The 18,412-nt window shown below is 50.3% G+C and overlaps 1 long non-coding RNA gene across 1 annotated transcript in view, besides 8 other annotated features; it reads right to left on the bottom strand.

Moving 5' to 3' along the window:
• LOC124900479 (uncharacterized) overlaps positions 1–18,412 on the bottom strand; it is a 31,093-nt gene that overhangs the window by 11,233 nt on the left and 1,448 nt on the right. The window contains exon 2 of the long non-coding RNA XR_007068117.1: positions 8,467–8,552. This is a non-coding gene — a long non-coding RNA (uncharacterized LOC124900479). The remainder of the gene's footprint in view (positions 1–8,466; positions 8,553–18,412) is intronic.
• Positions 3,869–4,369: an enhancer, noted in NCBI's record as "H3K4me1 hESC enhancer chr22:42929913-42930413 (GRCh37/hg19 assembly coordinates)". NCBI's record gives its function as "activates a minimal SCP1, AML or CMV promoter by ChIP-STARR-seq in naive H9 embryonic stem cells {active_cell/tissue: H9 hESC(naive)}" and the evidence as "EXISTENCE:reporter gene assay evidence [ECO:0000049][PMID:30033119]".
• Positions 4,370–4,870: an enhancer, noted in NCBI's record as "H3K4me1 hESC enhancer chr22:42929412-42929912 (GRCh37/hg19 assembly coordinates)". NCBI's record gives its function as "activates a minimal SCP1, AML or CMV promoter by ChIP-STARR-seq in primed H9 embryonic stem cells {active_cell/tissue: H9 hESC(primed)}" and the evidence as "EXISTENCE:reporter gene assay evidence [ECO:0000049][PMID:30033119]".
• Positions 4,370–5,092: a biological region, named in NCBI's record as "H3K4me1 hESC enhancer GRCh37_chr22:42929412-42929912".
• Positions 4,663–5,092: an enhancer, noted in NCBI's record as "active region_19169". NCBI's record gives its function as "activates an Ori minimal core promoter by ATAC-STARR-seq in GM12878 lymphoblastoid cells {active_cell/tissue: GM12878}" and the evidence as "EXISTENCE:reporter gene assay evidence [ECO:0000049][PMID:35858748]".
• Positions 9,684–10,431: an enhancer, noted in NCBI's record as "H3K4me1 hESC enhancer chr22:42923851-42924598 (GRCh37/hg19 assembly coordinates)". NCBI's record gives its function as "activates a minimal SCP1, AML or CMV promoter by ChIP-STARR-seq in primed H9 embryonic stem cells {active_cell/tissue: H9 hESC(primed)}" and the evidence as "EXISTENCE:reporter gene assay evidence [ECO:0000049][PMID:30033119]".
• Positions 17,279–17,573: an enhancer, noted in NCBI's record as "tiled region #9885; HepG2 Activating DNase matched - State 1:Tss". NCBI's record gives its function as "activates a minimal TATA promoter and a strong SV40 promoter by Sharpr-MPRA in HepG2 cells {active_cell/tissue: HepG2}" and the evidence as "EXISTENCE:reporter gene assay evidence [ECO:0000049][PMID:27701403]".
• Positions 18,099–18,158: an enhancer, noted in NCBI's record as "active region_19168". NCBI's record gives its function as "activates an Ori minimal core promoter by ATAC-STARR-seq in GM12878 lymphoblastoid cells {active_cell/tissue: GM12878}" and the evidence as "EXISTENCE:reporter gene assay evidence [ECO:0000049][PMID:35858748]".
• Positions 18,339–18,398: a silencer, noted in NCBI's record as "silent region_13829". NCBI's record gives its function as "represses an Ori minimal core promoter by ATAC-STARR-seq in GM12878 lymphoblastoid cells {active_cell/tissue: GM12878}" and the evidence as "EXISTENCE:reporter gene assay evidence [ECO:0000049][PMID:35858748]".

Below are 18,412 nucleotides of genomic sequence, written 5' to 3'. Positions count from 1 at the left end.
CCTGAGTAGCTGGGACTACAGGCACACACCATTACACCAAATTCAGTAGCTTCAAATAACACCCATTGTTAGCTCACAATTCGGTAGGACTGTAATGGATTGAATCATGACTCGTTCTCCCCACCAAATTCACATGTTGAAGTTCCAACTCCTACTACCTCAGAATGTCATCTTATTTGGAGATAGGTTCTTCTCAGAGGTGAACAAGTTAAAATCAAGATATCAGGCTAGGCCATATTCCAATATGACAGGTGTCCTTAGGAAAAAGGGAAATTTCATTATACACATCCAGAGAGAACATCAAATAGAAACGATGTGGTTATTTATTTATTGAATCAGAGTTTCACTCATGTTGCCCAGGGTGGAGTGCAATGGCACGATCTCAGCTCACTGCAACCTCCGCCTCCTGGGTTCAAGCCATTCTCCTACCTCAGCCTCCCGAGTAGCTGGGATTACAGGCGCCCACCATCACACCCGGCTAAGTTTTTGTATTTTTAGTAGAGACGGGGTTTCATCATGTTGGCCGGGCTGGTTTCAAACTCCTGACCTCAAGTGATCCACCCTCCTCGGCCCCTCAAAGTACTGAGATTATAGGGGTGAACCACAGCACTGGGCCCAGAATCCATTTTGAAGTGGAGCCAACAGGATTTGCTGCTGGGTGTTGTGAGAGTGGGAGGAGTCAGGGATGACGCACGGGTGTTGGCCTGAGCAGCTGGAGGAAGTGAGTTGCCGTGAGCTATGGGCACAGCCAGAGCTGGCTTTGTTGACTGTTTTATCTGATGCTGACCAGCCACTGACCTACTCTTCTTACAGATACATTGAGACTATCACACCGAGGGCCCACGGGCTTCGCTGGTCCGAGACCAAGTGTCCTTTCTCTTGAAGTGTTTGCATAATGTCTGCTTCAATGCACTGTAGGTGGTGTGCACTGTAGAGTTTCACTCTCAGGAGGAAATTTATTCCACAGCTGTAGCTGCACGTGTCTACCCAAAGATATTAACTTGCTGTGTTACCGACTCCTAGCATTCCTTAGGACTGTATGGCTTTGAACTTCATCTTGAGGCTTCTACACTCTGTGGCTTTGACTTGGCCCTCCTCTGCTACCTTTGATGATTCTCAGAAGCTGGTACAATTTCTTTTTTTTTGTTTGTTTGTTTTATTTTTTTGAGACAGAGTCTTGCTCTGTTGGCCAGGCTGGAGTGCAGTGGTGCGATCTCGGCTCACTACAAGCTCCGCCTCCCGGGTTCATGCCATTCTCCTGCCTCAGCCTCCGGAGTAGCTGGGACTACAGGCGCCCGCCACCATGCACAGCTAATTTTTTGTTTTTTTTAGTAGAGACGGGGTTTTACCGTGTTAACCAGGATGGTCTCGATCTTCTGAGCTGGTGATCTGCCCGCCTCGGCCTGCCAAAGTGCTGGGATGGGAGTCTTGCTCTGTCGCCCAGGCTAGAGTGCAGTGGCGCCATCTCGGCTCACTCCAGTTCTGCCTCCTGGGTTCACGCCATTCTCCTGCTTCAGCCTCCAGAGTAGCTGGGACTACAGGCAGCCGCCACCACACGTGGCTAATTTTTGGTATTTGTAGTAGAGACGGGGTTTCACCGTGCCCGGCCATAGTTATTCGTATGTTTATTGTTATTATTTTGTCTTTTTTTAATTTTTAGAGACAGGGTCTTGCTGCATTGCCCAGGTTGGAGGGCAGGGGCTATTCATAGGTGCGATCCCAGCCCACTGCAGCCTCAACTCCTGGCGTTGAGCGATCCCCCACCCCAGCCTCCCAAGTAGCTGGGATTACAGACACATGCCATTGTGCCCAGCTTGTATGTGTTTTCTGGGGTCATCCATTCCTTTAGCAAAAATGTGTTGAGCACCGGTGGAGCAGCAGTGCACCTGCCCAGGAGGCCCATGGCATGAGGCCGAGTGCAAACAGAAAGGGAGAGTAATTTCCTGGACTTTTACGAAGTGAGGCCCAAGGTTTGAACAGAATGCCCTGGTGAAAGGTTAGCTCATAGACCCCGGTGTGAGTTGAACTCTTAACCTTGTGGAGCAATAAATGAAGGCCTCCAGATATGAAATGATTTGCTTGGTGTCTCCTGCCTGCAACCTGTACATTTTTCTTCTAGACCATGCCTATTGTATTCTTGATTTTTTTTAAAAGACTATTTTGGGGAAACAGTTTTAAGTTCACAGCATAATTGAGAGGAAGGTACATTTATATGATTTTTAAACCTTGGAGGAAGAGGAAATTTTTTTTTTTGAGAGAGAGAGTCTCCCTCTGTCACACAGGCTGGAGTGCAGTGGCATGATCCCGGCCCACTGCAACCTCCGCCTCCCAGGTTCCAGTGATTCTCCTGCCTGTAATCCCAGCACTTTGGGAGGCTGAGGCATGCATATCGCTTGAGGGCAGGAGTTCGAGACCAGCCTGGCCAACATAGTGAAACCCTGTCTCTACTAAAAATACATAAATTACCCAACATGGTGATGCACAACTGTAATCCCAGCTACTCGGGGGGCTGAGGCATGAGAATTGCTTGAACCCGGGAGGCGGAGGTTGCAATGAGCCCAGATTGTGCCATTGCACTCCAGCCTGGGCAATAGAGCAAGACTCTGTCTCAAAACAAACAAACAAACAAAAAGTCTCAGAAAGGGAAATGAGCCATTGCAGAGAACAACTGTGTTTTGTGAGCGGGTCCCAACAATGCCACCACCAGGAGCGGGTGCCGCCCGCTCGGCCCCTGCAGAGCCGGGGACCTCAGAGGAAGGGGTGCAGGTGGCGGGGAGGGCCAGGCTGCAGATGCGGGGCCTCATTTTGTTTCCTTGTAAAGTGAATTCCCCAAAGGGTTCTGATGCTTTTGCTTGGCAGAGCAAGGGAAAATAAGACATTTTAAATGGATTCCATTGTCTTTCCTGGTGACAGAGCAGCCTCCCCAGCGTGTTTCCGTGTCTCTGTAGCCCCGTGAGAGCAGTTGCTCCCTTCTCCTCTTAAAACGCGGCAATAATGAGTCAGAAGAAAAAGTGCTTGTTGCCAAAGGCTGATTATTATAGGTCTCCGAGCATTCTGCATCCACCTGCTGAGGAAATCATGGCTTTGAGTGTGCAGAGATTTATTGCCATGCAAGTTCATTTGCAAGTTTAGAAGATAGGAACAGACTAATATTGAACTACAGAGGCAAAGATGGTAGAGTGTTTGAAGGGGTGCAACACAATTTTAAGATCCAGCCAATTCTCCCTCTCATCTCTCCTTCCCAACCCAAGGGCAATAACATCCCGCATCCCCAGGGCCATGCTCTGCATAGCTCTATGTAGCTGGCACATTCTCTAGGACTTGAGCTAACTGGAGCTTGGGGTCCTTGGCGATGACAAGCATGATATGCAGGGCAGCTCTCATCTCACAAGACCAGCTGGTAGGAAGCCCTTCCAAGACGTGGGTGGCCCTGAGCTTGAGCTTAGCTCAGGCAAAGTGGGAGATTGGAAAGAGAAGTGGAGGCAGGCTGGCCATCTTCCTTTTCTCACACACCTGCTGTGGCCTTGAGGAAGTCCTGTAAACTTTCAGGGCCCCAACTACCTCCTTCTCCAAATGGCTAGTGGCCTCCTTGAGCTCCTTGAGTAGGGCCACAGGCCACAGCAGTGAGAGTCCGCTGGGGGGTGATGAAGTTTTAGGGAGCCCAAGGCAAAGCAGCACACAGTGTGAAATACCATTTCATAGCATGAGCTTGTGTGTATGCCAATTAGCTGGTATAAAGATCAAGGCCAGGCATGGTGGCTCATGCCTGTAATCCCAGCACTTTGGGATTCTGAGGAGGTGGATCTCTTGAGCCTAGGAGTTTGAGACCAGCCTGGCCAACATGGTGAAACGCTGTCTCTACAAAAAATAATAATAATAATAATTAGCCGGGCATGGTGGCAGGTGCCTGTAACCCCAGCTATTTAGGAGGCTGAGACAGGAGGATCACTTGAGCCAAGGAGGTCAGGGCTATAGTGAGCCATGATCACACCACTGCACTTGAGCCTGAGACTCTATGTAAAAAAAAAAAAAAAAAGAAAAGAAAAAAAGACAAACCAACAAAACAAAATAAAACAAAACAAAACTCAGACTCTACCCAGGGTTTCTAAGATGAACACTTACAGAGGGATGTGGACCTGAAAGGAAGTATCTGGAGAATTTTAACTGCATTCAGTCTGCTTTGAAACTGTGTATGGGTAAAAATGGGTCCAGTTGCCATCACAGGCTGGGGGAGAGCTGGCAGGTGATGGGGAGGAGGGCAGCTCACATGCAGAATCATGATCAAGCAAAGCGGGTCTAGGAAGGTGGCTCCGGGTTCGCGGAGCTCAAAGAGAGCGGATGAGGGTAGGTGGGGGAGGCTGGGCCAGGGAGGAGGCCTAGGGAACGGCAGGTGCTCTGAGTTGGAAAGCGCCCCCAAGAAATTCATGGCTACCTGGTACCCATGAATGTGACCTTATTTGGAAATAGGGTCTTTGCAGTTGTAATCAAGTTCAGATGAGGTCACACCTGTAGGGGCCAGCCTTACAGGGTCTGTGGGTTTTTCTCCCCATGTGAGGAGACGAGAGATGGTAGAAATAAAGACACAAGACAAAGAGATAAACGAAAAGACAGCTGGGCCCAGGGGACCACTACCACCAAGACGGGGAGATCGGTAGTGGCCCCAAATGCCTGGCTGCACTGTTATTTATTGGATACAAAGCAAAAGGGGCAGGGTAAAGAGTGTGAGTCATCTCCAATGATTGACAAGGTCACGTGAGTCATGTGTCCACCAGACAGGGGGCCCTTCCCTGTTAGGTAGTCGAGGCGGAGAGAGAGAGGACAGCTTACGTCATTATTTCTTCTATGCTCTTTTCAGAAAGATCAAAGACTTTAATACTTTCACTAATTTGCTACTGCTATCTAGAGGGCAGAGCCAGGTGTACAGAGTGGAACATGAAAGTGAAACAGGAGTGTGACCGCTGAAGCACAGCATCACAGGGAGACGGTTAGGCCTCCGGATAACTGTGGGCGATCAGTTAGGCCCTCCACAAGAGGTGTGGAGCAGAGTCTTCTCTAAACTACCCCGGGGAAAGGGAGACTCCCTTTCCCGGTCTGCTAAGTAGCAGGTGTTTCTCCTTGGCACTGATGCTACCACTAGACCACGGTCCGCTTGGCAACGGGCGTCTTCCCAGACGCTGGCATTACCGCTAGATGAAGGAGCCCTCTGGTGGCCCTGTCCGGGCGTGACAGAGGGCTCACACTCTTGTCTTCTGGTCACTTCTCACAGTGCCCCTTCAGTTCCTATCTCTGTACGGTCTGGTTTTTCCCAGGTTATAATTGTAGAGCAAGGATTATTATAATATTGGAATAAAGAGTAATTGCTACAAACCAATGATTAATGATATTCACATATAATCATATCTATGATCTATATCTAGTATAACTCTTATTATTTTATATATTTTATTACACTAGAACAGCTCGTGCCCTCAGTCTCTTGCCTCGGCACCTGGGTGGCTTGCCGCCCACACACACCCTCATCCAATGACTGGCATCCTTAGAAGAGGAACAGGTGGACACAGAGACTGCCCCAGAGGGACAATAGCCATGTGAAGACGGAAGCAGAGGTCAGAGCGATGCTCCCACAAGCCCGGCAATGGCAGCGATTGCAGGTGTCTTCGTCTGCTGTGGCTGCTAAAGAAGATGTGGTAGACTGGGAGGCTCAAACAACAGATATTTGTTTCTCCTAGTTCTGGAGACTGGGAAGTTTGAGATCAAGGTACTGGGAAGTTTGAGATCAAGGTGCTGGAAGGTTCGGTTCAATCTGGTGAGGGCCTCTTCCTGGTTTTAAGGATGGCTGCCTTCTTACTTTGGACCTCACATGGCAGAGGGGGGTGAAGAGAGAGAGGCAGAGAGATTGATGATGTCCCCTGTCTCTTTTTTTTTTTTTGGAGATAGAGTCTTACTCTGCCACACAGGCTGGAGTGCAGTGGCATGATCTCAGTTTACTGCAGCCTCTGCTTCCTGAGTTCAAATGATTCTCCTGCCTCAGCCTCCGGAGTAGCTAGGATTACAGGCACCCCCCACCATGCCCGGCTCATTTTTTGCATTTTTAGTAGAGATGGAGTTTCGCCATGTTGGCCAGGCTGGTCTCGAACCCTGACCTCAAGTGATCCACCAGATGTAGGGTCCAGCCCTACAGGGCTTGGCGGGTGTTCTCCCCATGTGCGGAGATGAGAGATCGTAAGAAATAAAGGCACAAGACAAAGAGATAAAGAGAAAACAGCTGGGCCCGGGGGGACCACTACCACCAAGACACGGAGACCGGTAGTGACCCCAAATGGCTGGGCGCACTGTTATTTATTGCATACAAGACAAGGGGAGCAGGGTAAGGAGGGTGAGTCGTCCAAGTGATTGATAAGGTCGAGCAAGTCACGTGATCATAGGACAGTGAGCCTTTCCCTTATAGGTAGCTGAAGCAGAGAGGGAAGGCAGCATACGTCGGCGTTTTCTTCTATGCACTTATCAAAAAGATCAAAGACTTTAAGACTTTCACTATTTCTTCTACCGCTATCTTCTAAGAACTTCCAAGAGGAACCAGGAGTACGGGAGGAGCATGCAAGTGGACAAGGAGCGTGAGCATTGAAGGACAGCACCACAGGGAGGGGTTTAGGCCTCCGGATGACTGCGGGCAGGCCTGGACGATATCCAACCTCCCACAAGAAGGTGGTGGAGCAGAGTGTTCCCTGACTCCTCCAAGGAAAGGGAGACTCCCTTTCACGGTCTGCTGAGGAACGAGTGCCTTCCCAGGCACTGGTGTTACCGCTTGACCAAGGAGCCCTCAAGCGGCCCTTATGCGGGCGTGACAGAGGGCTCACCTCTTGCCTTCTTGGTCACTTCTCACAATGTCCCTTCAGCACCTGACCCTATATCCGCCAGTTATTCCTTGGTTATATTAGTAATACTACAAAGAGTAACATTAAAAGCTAATGATTAATAATGTTTATACTGATGATTGATAACGTCCATGATCATCTCTGTATCTAATTTGTATCATAATTATTCTTATTCTGTTTTTTTTTTATCATACTGAAACAGTTTGTGCTTTCAGTCTCTTGCCTCAGCACCTGGACAGTCCTCCACTCACACCTCAGCCTCTCAAAGTGCTGGGATTACAGACATGAGCCACCGCACCTGGCGTCCCCCATCTCTTCTTATAAGGGCACTCATCCCATCATGGCATCAGGGGGCCCTATCCCCATGACCTCATCTAACCCTAGTTACCTCCCAAAGATCTCACCTCCTAATACCATACCTAACTGGGGGTTAGGGTTTCAACAGATGAATTTTGGGGGGACACATATACTCGATTCATAACAGCCAAGAACCACCAGAAGCTAGAAGAGGTGAGGAAGGATCCCTTTCTTGATGTGACACCTTCATTTTAGACTTCTGGCCTCTGGAACTGTGAGAGAATAAAGTCTGTTGTTTTAAGCCACCCAGTTCATGGTCATTTTACTTTAGCTGTGGTAGAAAGCCCAGGAAAAAGTCTCCAGAGTGAGCTGGGGGACACACCTGCCCCTCACACCCTTGGCCATGGTCACCCAAGGGTCTCCTTTCCTCCTCATTCCTCCTCCTTCTTCCACCAGGGGCACGGGCACCATCCAAGTGCAGTCTCTGCAGGCGGGGGAGACTCCTGCACGGACTTCCTGCAGAGTCAATTCTGTAGTAGACACCAGTCGGGTGTCCTCTGCTTCCACTCAGTCCCAACACTGTCTACCTGGAGATGTCCTCAGGTCCCGCAGGTTGAGGACTTCGTCCCACAAGACCTGAGCCACACTCCCAAAACTGATCCCAAGCCCAGGTTATTTTGAGTCTCTCCTTCTCCTTCTTCTCCTTCTCCTCCTTCTCCTTCTCCTTCTCCTCCTCCTCCTCCTCCTCCTCCTTCCTCTTCTTCTTCTTCTTTCTTCTTCCAGGGTCTCACTGTGTTGCCCAGGCTGGAGTGCAATGGTGTGATCTTGGCTCACTGCAGCCTCCACCTCCCAGGTTCAAGCGAATCTTCTGCCTCAGCCTCTCCAGTAGCTGGGACTACAGACATGCACCACCATGCCCCACCAATTTTTGTATTTTTAGTAGAGATGGTGTTTCACCATGTTGGCCAGGCTGGTCTTGAACTCCTGACCTCAAGGGATCCATCCACCTCAGCCTCCCAAAGTGCTGGGATTACAGGAGTGAGCCACCGTGCCTAGCCTATTTTGTGTTTGCTTCTGACCAACCAGCCGTAAATTGGGGTTCCCACAGCCCTCTCTTTGGGTTCAATTCACTTGCTAGAGAGGCTCAGAACTCAGGGGAACACTTACTCAGGTTTACCATGTAGGGGTGAAGGGAAAACTTCCCCTTCGCCCTCTGAAGGTTCACGGAAAATCAACTCTCAAAAGGCAGATGAATAGGAGAAAGGGATGCGCATTTATTTGATTATAGTTTTACCTGTCACAGGAGACTTCGGAATGAAGACCCAAAGATACAGGGGAAATTGTCCATTTTCATGCTGAGGTTCAACACAGTATGGGCAGCTGTGGAGACATAGGATTGGACAAAAATGATCTGATCTAATGCTAGCAGATGGAGTGGGGAACCCAGCAGGGCCTGTCTGGCTAGATTCCTCCTGGCCTCTCTGAGCTGAGTTCCTTCCTTCTGAGTGTGGGGAGGACAGTCTCTGGAATGCGGGTCTTATTATTTTTTGAGACAGTCTTGCTCTGTGGCCCAGACTGGAGTGCAGTGGCGTGATCTCGGCTCATTGCAACCTCCGCCTCCCGGGTTCAAGCGATTCTCCTGCCTCAGCCTCCTGAGTAGCTGGGATTACAGGTGCATGCCACCACGCCTGGCTAATTTTTGTGGTTTTAGTAGAGATGGGGTTTCATCATGTTGGCCTGGCTGGTCTTGAACTCCTGACCTCAGGTCTACCCACCTAAGCCTCCCAAAGTGTTGGGATTACAGGCGTGAGCCACGGCGCCTGGCCTGGAATGGGGGTCTTATGGTCTACAGTCAAACAAAGTAGGCCAGAGAATTTCTTTATGGCCAGTTTTTGCACAGATAGGGCAGAGGGGAAGTTAGAGTCATATTTTAGGTTGTATGGCTGGTTTGGGGGAAAGGGGTTCTGGTTTCTATGACTCACCCTGAGGAAGAGAGATTCTAGTTTCTATGGCCAGCCTCAGGGCAGAATGAGGGGCCACAGACAGGAGGGCAAGAGAAGGTCAGAGAAACTCCTTCGCATGGATGACACAGACCCCCATCTCCAGGCCTGAAAGCACCAGGACTAGGAGGAAAAGCAGCCCCCACTCAAGAAGGTGGCAGCGGGGCACAGATGAGAACAATGCTGCAAAATTTGTGTCTACCCTTGGAGCAGACCAGACCAGATACAGAGTTTCAGCTGACGGGAGCCGGTCCCTGGCTGGTGCTACCCTCCTCCCCACCCTGGCCTGGAGTCCTGCAGCATGCCCCAGAAACAGTGCCAGCAGCCAGGCCGGAGGAAGTGGTGCCCAGCCGTGCAGACACGGCTGGCTGGAGGGAGCCCTGGACATTATGACTGTCATGGGGCCTTCGTCCACTAAAAAAAAAAAAAAAAAAAAGTAAAAATTGTATATTATGCCTGCATGGCTAAAAAGATGAAAATAACCAGGCTGGGCTGCTTATAAATCAGTTACATGTTTTTTTCTGGTTTTAATAGAAATTAAGACGTTTTTGTGGGCCCACAGTGCCCCTCAGGCACAGTGCCTGCTGAGCCGAATGTGGATGTGGGCTCTGCCTCTGGGGTTAGTGTCAGGAAACTCCTGCTTCTTCCCTTGCAGGATCAGCAAGGGGTCACTCTGGCTTTCCTCATGGCAAAGAAACTTCCCATGGGCACCTGCACACACCCCAGGCCTCCTCCCTGCCAAGGCAGGGATTCCTGTGCCACCTGCTGGGGAGGGCAGCCCAGCAAATGAGCCAGCTGCATGGGTGGGAGTTGGTGACTGTTCTTCGTTTTCTGCAATGGTTCATTTTTTGTGTCAACCTGTTGGAGCCATGAGGTGCCCAGTATTTGGTTCAACATGATTCTGGGTCTGTCTGTGAAGGTGTTTCCAGAAGAGATAAGCATTTGCATCAGTAGACTGAGTAAAACAGATGGCCCTCCCCAGTGTGGATGCGCCTTGTCCAATCCATTGAAAGCCTGATGGGAACAAAAGACAGAGTGTGGTGACGCATGCCAGTAGTCCCGACCACGCAGGAGGCTGAGGCAGGAGGATCGCTTGAACCCAGGAGTTGCAGACCAGCCTGGGCAACGTGGCGAGACCTCATCTCTACAAAAACATAAAAAAAAAAAAAATTGAGACGTGGCACACTTGTAGTCCCAGCTACTCAGGAGGCTGAGGCAAGAGGATCATTTGAGCCTGGGATATCGAGGCTACAGTGAGCCACGTTCACACCACTGCACTCTAGCCTGGACTACAGGGCAAAAGTCTGTCTCTTAAAAAAAAAAAAAAAAGGCCCGGTGTGGTGGCTCACTCCTGTAATCCCAGCACTTTGGGAGGCCAAGGCGGGTGGATCACCTGAGGTCAGGAGTTCAAGACCAGCCTGGCCAACATGGTGAAACCACGTCTCTACTAAAAATACAAAAATTAGCCGGGCATGGTGGCAGGCATCTGTAATTCCAGCTACTCAGGAGGCTGAGGCAGGGAGAATTGCTTGAACCCGGGAGGCGGAGGTTGCAGTGAGCCCATATTGCACCACTGCACTCCAGCGGTATACTCTGGGTGCCATCACTTAGCTCCTCGGACCTCCTCAGTATCCTAATCACCCTCAGCAGATGGCCTGGAGATTGGCTTCTTAGTTTTAAATTCTAGGACCATCTACAAGCTTGCTTTTGGTAAGTCACTACAGACAAATACCAGTTAAAGCACTCAGGAAGATTCAAGCTCCAGTGAAATACTATGCATTGCCTAAAGCATATTCCTGGGTGAAAGAGCAAGACTCCTTCTCAAAAAAAAAGAAAAGAAAAGAAAAAGAAAAAGTAAGATAGAATTCACTCCATCTGCCTGACTGTGAGCTGAGCTGGGATACTGGTCTTCTCCTGCCTTTGAACTTGGACTTGGACTGCAATGACACTGTCGGCTCTCCTGGTTTTCTTTTGCTTGCTGACTGTAGATCCTGGGACTTCTCAGCCTGAGCTCAGCCAGGGCTGCATTTAGGCAGAAGTAGGGCTCAGGGTAATTAGATGGGGCAGATGGGGCTCCTCATCTATTTTGGGGCAAGTCAAGCTAAGACACCTCCTTGAGAATGGCTCTGCAGAGAACTGCCTGACCCCAGGCAGTAAGAGGTGAAGCTGCCACGCCTTCTCCTAATTCAGGAGCAGAGTCTTTGCCTTTAGAAATTCCCTCTGCTGGGCCGGGCGCGGTGGCTCACGCCTGTAATCCCAGCACTTTGGGAGGCTGAGGCGGGTGGATCACGAGGTCAGGAGATCGAGACCATCTTGGCTAACATGGTGAAAACCCGTCGCTACTAAAAATACAAAAATAAATTAGCCGGGGGTGATGGTGGGGGCCTGTAGTCCCAGCTACTCAGGAGGCTGAGGCAGGAGAATGGCATGAACCTGGGAGGCGGATCTTGCAGTGAGCCAAGATCGCACCACTGCACCCCAGCCTGGCTGACAGAACAAAATCTTGTCTCAAAAAAAAAAAAAAGAAATTCCCTCTGCAGTTATGTTAAGGGTGGGATGGAAGTAAGTATAAACTTCCATGCAAAGCAAACAAATAGGATATAATAAGGATTTGGGGCTGGGCTGAGTGGCTCAAACCTGTAATATTAGCACTTTAGGAAGCCAAGGTAGGAGGATTGGTTGAGCCTGGAAGTTTGAGACTAGCCTGGGCAACACAGTGAGACCCCATCTCTTAAAAAAAGAAAGAAGACTTTTTAAAAGTGTTACTAGGCCATTACTGTTGATTCCCCATTATTCGGGATTCGATCATCCAGTCTGAGGATCACTGAAGCCTTTTCTAGGCTGTTTTGATTCATCTTTTGTGTGTGTGTGTGTGTGTGTGTGTGTGTCTGTGTGAGACAGAGTCTCGCTCTGTTGCCCAGGCTGGAGTATGGTGGCGTGATCTCAGGCCACTGTAACCTCCGCCTCCTGAGTTCAAGAGATTCTCCTGCCCCAGACTCTTGAGTAGCTAGGATTATAGGTGCGCGCCACCACGCCTAGCTACTTTTTATATTTTTAGTAGAGACAGGGTTTCACCATGTTGGCCAGGATGGTCTCGATCTCTCGACCTCGTGATCTGCCCGCCTCGGCCTCCCAAAATGCTGGGATTACGGGTGTGAGCCACCATGCCTGGCCTTGACTCATCTTTTCATTCTTTCACTAATCTTGGCATTTCCTAATATTAATGAAAATAAAAGGAAATGAGAGTGAAACAACAGGTTTACTTTCCTCTATTAGCTTCTGAGGGAAAAGGAACGGACAAGAGCAGGTTGGGCGACCAGCTGGCATTTGCCCCTCTGTCAGGTGACCTCGACATCCCCGCATTGCAGAAAGGACCCTGAGAGCTGACCTTACCTGTGTGCGTCTCCCCAACGAAAACTCTTAGCAAGTCTGACTTACAGACCACTAGAAACCCGATCGGGACCCAGAAACCCCACTCCCAGGTATTCACCCAAGAGAAGTGAAAACTTCCATTCATACAAACACCTGTGCGTGAATGTTACAGCAGCTTATTCATAATCGTCGAAACCTGGAAATCGCCCACATCCTTTACTTGGTGAATAGATAAATAGACCACACTCCATCCAGACAGTGGAACATTTCTCAGCAATGAAAAGGAACCATACAACAATGTGGGTGAACCTCAAATCACGATGCTCAGTGAAAGAACCTGGACTCGCACGATTCCACTTTCAGGACTCGCTGGAAAAGCAACGGGAGAACAGAGCAGTGGTTGCCAGCGGCAGCACGGGAGTTCTGGGAGTGACGGGATGTTCCCTATCTTGACTGTGGTCATGGTGATAGGACTCTATGCATTTGAACTATATACCAAAAGAAGTGAATTTTACTGTGTGGACATTTGAAAGTATTTTTTAACCATTAAAAAAGAAAAATTGAGGCTGGGCACAGTGGCTTATGCCTGTAATACCAGCACTTTGGGAGGCCGAGGCGGGCGGATCACAAGGTCAAGAGATCGAGACCATCATGGCCAACATGGTGAAACCCTGTCTCTACTAAAAATACAAAAAGTAGCCGGGCGTGGTGGCGGGTGCCTGTAGTCCCAGCTACTCAGGAGGCTGAGGCAGGAGAATGGTGTGAACCCGGGAGGCGGAGCTTGCAGTGAGCCGAGATCACACCATTGCACTCCAGCCTGGGTGACAGAGTGAGACTCCATCTCAAAAAAAAAAAAAAGTGACTTCAATTTTTCCTTCTCCTCCTCTTGGCTTGTAAAAGGGTTACCCCTGCGTGGCTTCAGAGTGTTTAAAATCGCTTACCTCCTCTTGAGGAGGTTTAACATTCTTTCCTTTTTTGAGACAGAGTCTTGTTCTGTCACCCAGGCTGGAGTGCAATGGCTTAATCTCGGCCCACTGCCACCTCCACCTCCCGGGTTCAAGGGATTCTCTTGCCTCAGCCTCCCAAGTAGCTGGGATTACAGGTGTGCATCACCACACTCAGCCAATTTTTGTATTTTTGGTAGAGACGGGGTTTCATCATGTTGCCCAGTCTGGTCTCAAACTCCTGGACTGAAACGATCCACCCACCTCAGCCTCCCAAAGTGCTGAGATTACAAGTGTGAGCCACTGCGCCAGGCCTCAATATTCTTTCTAATAAGCTCACTTGGGTTCTTATTCAGTGTATTCCTTTTCCCAGGCTGCTGTAACAAAATAATATAAACTGGGTGGCTTAAGACAACAGAAATTGATTTCTGGAGGTGAGAAGTCCAACACCAAGGTGTCGGCAGGGCTGTGCTCCCTCTGAAGGTTCTAGGGAAGAATCCTCCCTCACTTCCTCCGGCGTCCAGTGGCCACAGGCATCCCTTGGCTTATAGCCTCACCACTGCCATCTCTGCCTCCATCTTCCTATGGCCCTCTTTCCTGTGTGTGTCTCCTAGGCATCTTATAAGGACACCAGCCATTGGACAAAGAGCCCACCCTAAATCCAAGATGATTTTATCTTGAGTTGAAAGGACCTGATTACATTTGCAAAGACCCTGTTTCCATATTCAGGTCACATTCACAGGAATGGAAGAGTGGTGGGGGAAGGGAGAGGTTAATACTTGAACATGGCTGGGCGCGGTGGCTCACGCCTGTAATCCTAGCACTTTGGGAGGCTGAGGCGGGCAGATCACGAGGTCAGGAGATCGAGACCATCCTGGCTAACACGTGAAACCCCCGTCTCTACTAAAAATACAAAAATTAGGCCGGGCGCGGTGGCTCACGCCTGTAATTCCAGCACTTTGGGAGGCCAAGGCAGGTGGATCACGAGGTCAGGAGATCGAGATCATCCTGGCTAACATGGTGAAACCCCGTCTCTACTAAAAATACAAAAAATTAGCCAGGCGTGGTGGTGGGCGCCTGTAGTCCCAGCTACTCAGGAGGCTGAGGCAGGAGAATTGCGTGAACCCGGGAGGCGGAGCTCTCAGTGAGCCGAGATCGCGCCACTGCACTTCAGCCTGGGCAACAGAGCAAGACTCCATCTCAAAAAAAAAAAAAAAAATACAAAAATTAGCCAGGCGTGGTGGCGCACGCCTGTAGTCCCAGCTACTCGGGAGGCTGAGGCAGGAGAATCACTTGAACCCGGGAGGTGGAGGCTGCAGCAAGCCAAGATCGCCCACTGCACACCAGCCCGGGAGACAGTGTGAGACTTCATCTCAAAAAAAACATACTTCAACATGTCTCTTGGGGAGCACAATTCAACCTCTATATTCGGTAAGACTCTCTTAGACAGGGCAGGGCAACCTGGCCCTGCACTCCTTGGCCATCCTCTGCTGTCACCCCCAGACCTCAGGCACGGCGGCCCCTCGCTCTCCCCCGTCTTTTCTCTCCGGGCCTCTGAAGTCACCAGTTCTCCATGCCCAGCCGTGGCCTGTGGGAGGGAGCTGGGGGGGTGAGCTGGAGCTGCCACTTAGCGGCAGAGTCGCAAACTCACCGTTCCTAATGAAGCCCGTCGCTTCTCCCTCCTCCTCCTCCCAGCAAGCAGGAAAAAAAAAAAAAGTTGACTACTGAGACCACATGCTAGGAAATCCATGGGTGGGTGCTCTAGTTGACAAGTCCCACTTGAGCCCAGCCATATTCGGCCATTCTTGCACTGCTATGAAGAAATACCTGAGACTGGGGAATTTATAAAGCCAAGACGTTGAATTGGTTCTGCAGGCTGTACGGGAAGCATGGCTGCATCTGCTTCTGGGGAGGCCTCAGGGAGCTTTGACTCATGGTGGAAGGCGAAGTGTGAGGGGTCACTTCACATGGTGAAAGCCTGACCAACAAAGTGGGGGGTGAAGCAGCCACCCATTTTTAAACAAACAGATCTCGCGAGAACTCGCGATCGCAAAGACGCAAAGACGGCGCCAAGCCATGAGGCCCCCATGATCCAAACACTTCCCACCAGGCCCCACCTCTAGCACTGGGGATTACAATTTAACATGCGATTTGGGCGGAGACAAATACTCAAACTCTATCACCAGCCATCCCTGCTGAGATGCCGGACTCATCTGCTGAGATGCTGCGATGTGAGTGAAGTGACTTGGAACCTTTAGTGCAGCCCATATGCCAGCTGAATACCATCAAATGCCCTCAGTCAGTGCCACAGGGAGAAACAAAATCTCCTAGCAGAGCATTGCCCAAATTCCTGACCCATGAAATACATGGGCAGTGGTAATTATAAAGAAAGTGGAGTTAATTGATCGAGTGGCATCAGTGGGCTGAAGGAAGAAAACAACAGGCCTCAGGACAGCCATTTATCAACTTATAGCCCAAGGTGAAAATCAGGAGGGGCTTCCAGAGACGTGTTTAAAGACAGGTCACATTGTGCTGATAAAGGCCTAGAACCTGATGAGAACTGTGGAGTTTGAATCAGGGCAGATGAACGGCTGTGCTAAGTGCTGTGCTCCAGTCAAGGAGCACAGAAGTGAAGGAGCGGACACTGTCACCTAGGGCAGGGAACGTCTGGATAGATGGGCTCAAGAGTCTTGAATTCTAGGCTGGGTGCAGTGGCTCACACCTGTAATCTCAGCACTTTGGGAGGCCGAGGTGGGCAGATCATCTGAGGTCAGGAGATCAAGACCAGCCTGGCCAACATGGTAAACCCTGTCTCTACTAAAAATACAAAAAAGTAGCTGGGTGTGGTGGCACATGCCTGTAATCCCAGCTACTTGGGAGGCTGAGGCAGGAGAATTGCTTGAACCCGGGAGGTGGAGGTTGCAGTAAGCTGAGATGGCAGCACTGCACTCCAGCCTGGGTGTCAGCAGAGTGAGACTCCGTCTCAAAAAAAAAAAAAAAAAAAAAAAAAAAAGGCTTATGCCTGTAATCCCAGCACTTTGGGAAGCCGAGGTGGGCGGATCACAAGGCCAAGAGATCGAGACTATCCTGGCCAATATGGCGAAGCTCTGTGTCTATCAAAAATAAGAAATTTAGCTGGTCATGGTGGTGCACACCTGTAATCCCAGCTACTCAGGAGGCTGATGCAGGAGAATTGCTTGAACCCAGGAGGCGGAGGTTGCAGTGAGCGGAGATCGCGCCACTGCACTCCAGCCTGGCGACACAGCGAGACTCCATCTCAAAAAAAAAAAAAAAAAAGTGATGTTGTGTGGCCAGTCCTGATATCCATCGAGATGGCTCCTTGAAGCGTGGAAGCAATACATGAGAGGGAGATAACAGAACGATGGTGGCAGGGCACTGAGAAGGAGCCAAAGGCCTCGGGGAGGGGGATGTGCAGGCACAGATTTATTATGCAACATCTGAGAAGCCAGATGACCGTATTTCTGGAGGGTTCACCAGAGACTGCTTTGACTAGTGGGGGGTCTAGGCATCAATGGGCAATCGGCATGGCCGTCCTCTGAGGCCAGGGTAGAAGAGGGCAAATAGGACTGGAGCCGGGCTCGGAAAGGTCAGCAGGAGATAGGATTCCAGAGAGCAGAGGTTCGGTTGATGTGACTGTCAGAACAGGAGCAAGGCCAGAGTGGCTGCCAGGGATCCTGGGCGCACAGGAGTCTCTGGTGAATGCTAGTAGACCACGGTATTCCCAGGGGCCACGGAAGCCCCAACACTGCTTGACTGCGCTAAGCAAAGAAAGATCAAAAACAAAAAACGAGCGAACAGGACAGTAATGGCAGCTGCTGATGGAAAATCCCAACCCCTCATCCAGTTTCCAGGCCTAAGCTAGGCCTCAGAACCAGAGGTCACTGACTGAAAGGGAGGCTGGGTCCCCTCCAGACCACAAATATTTGCAGTAGTAGGCTCCTAATCTTTCCCCAAAGGGGCCGACAGCATTTCCAAGAAGCAACTGTACACTGGGAAAAGAGAAATAGTAGATACATCAAGGGCTGGCGGGTACACAGTCTGAGAGGCCCTTTGGAGTCCAGAAAAGTGGAGTCCTTGGACTTCATTTCTCCCCTATCTACACTTGCTCCCTTGGCGATCACACCCTCTCATAACTTTCTTTTTTTTTCTCTTTCTTTTTTTTTTGAGACAGAGTCTCGCTCTGTTGCCCAGGCTGGATTGCAGTGGGGCGATCTTGGCTAACTGCAATCTCCGCCTCCTGGGTTCAAGCGATTCTCCTGCCTCAGCCTCCCGAGTAGCTGGAATTACAGGCATGCACTACCACGCCCGGCTACTTTTTGTACCTAGTAGACACGGGGTTTCACCATGTTGGCCAGGCTGGTCTGGAACTCCTGACCTCAAGTGATCCGCCCCCCTCGGCCTCCCAAATTGCTGGGATTACAGGCATGAATCACCGCACCCGGCTCCTCTCGTAACTGTCAATAACCTATCCATGGCCAGTCCCGTGTGTATTGCTCCAGGCCTGACATCTCTGATGTTCAGTCTGTTCAGTCTCATATCTAAGTGCCCACCTGACATGTCCCCTGAGTGGCCTAATGGGCATCTCACCACGGCTCACAGAGAACTGATCTACTCCATTTTCACCCCCAAGCAGGCCCCTCTCCTGCAGTCTTCCCATCTCAGTCAATGGCAACACCATCCTCTTAGTTGCTCAGACTGAAAACCTAGCAGCCATCCTGGATTTCTCTCACACTGCCTATTCAACGTGTGAATGCATGAGTGGAAAGCTGAGTTCGCACTCGTGACTGGCCGGGGTCAACTCTGACATTCGCTCCCACTTTCGCGCGCTGATTTATCTCTGAGCGGATGAAGGTTGGGCCATGGCGGGCGGGGCCGGGGAGGCGGGCTTGGAGTGAGGGGGCGG

Source organism: Homo sapiens, chromosome 22, assembly GCF_000001405.40.
Source record: "Homo sapiens chromosome 22, GRCh38.p14 Primary Assembly".
NCBI lineage: Eukaryota > Metazoa > Chordata > Mammalia > Primates > Hominidae > Homo > Homo sapiens.
The sequence above is the reverse complement of the archived record's forward strand: the minus strand, read 5'-3'. Positions and strand labels throughout refer to the sequence as shown.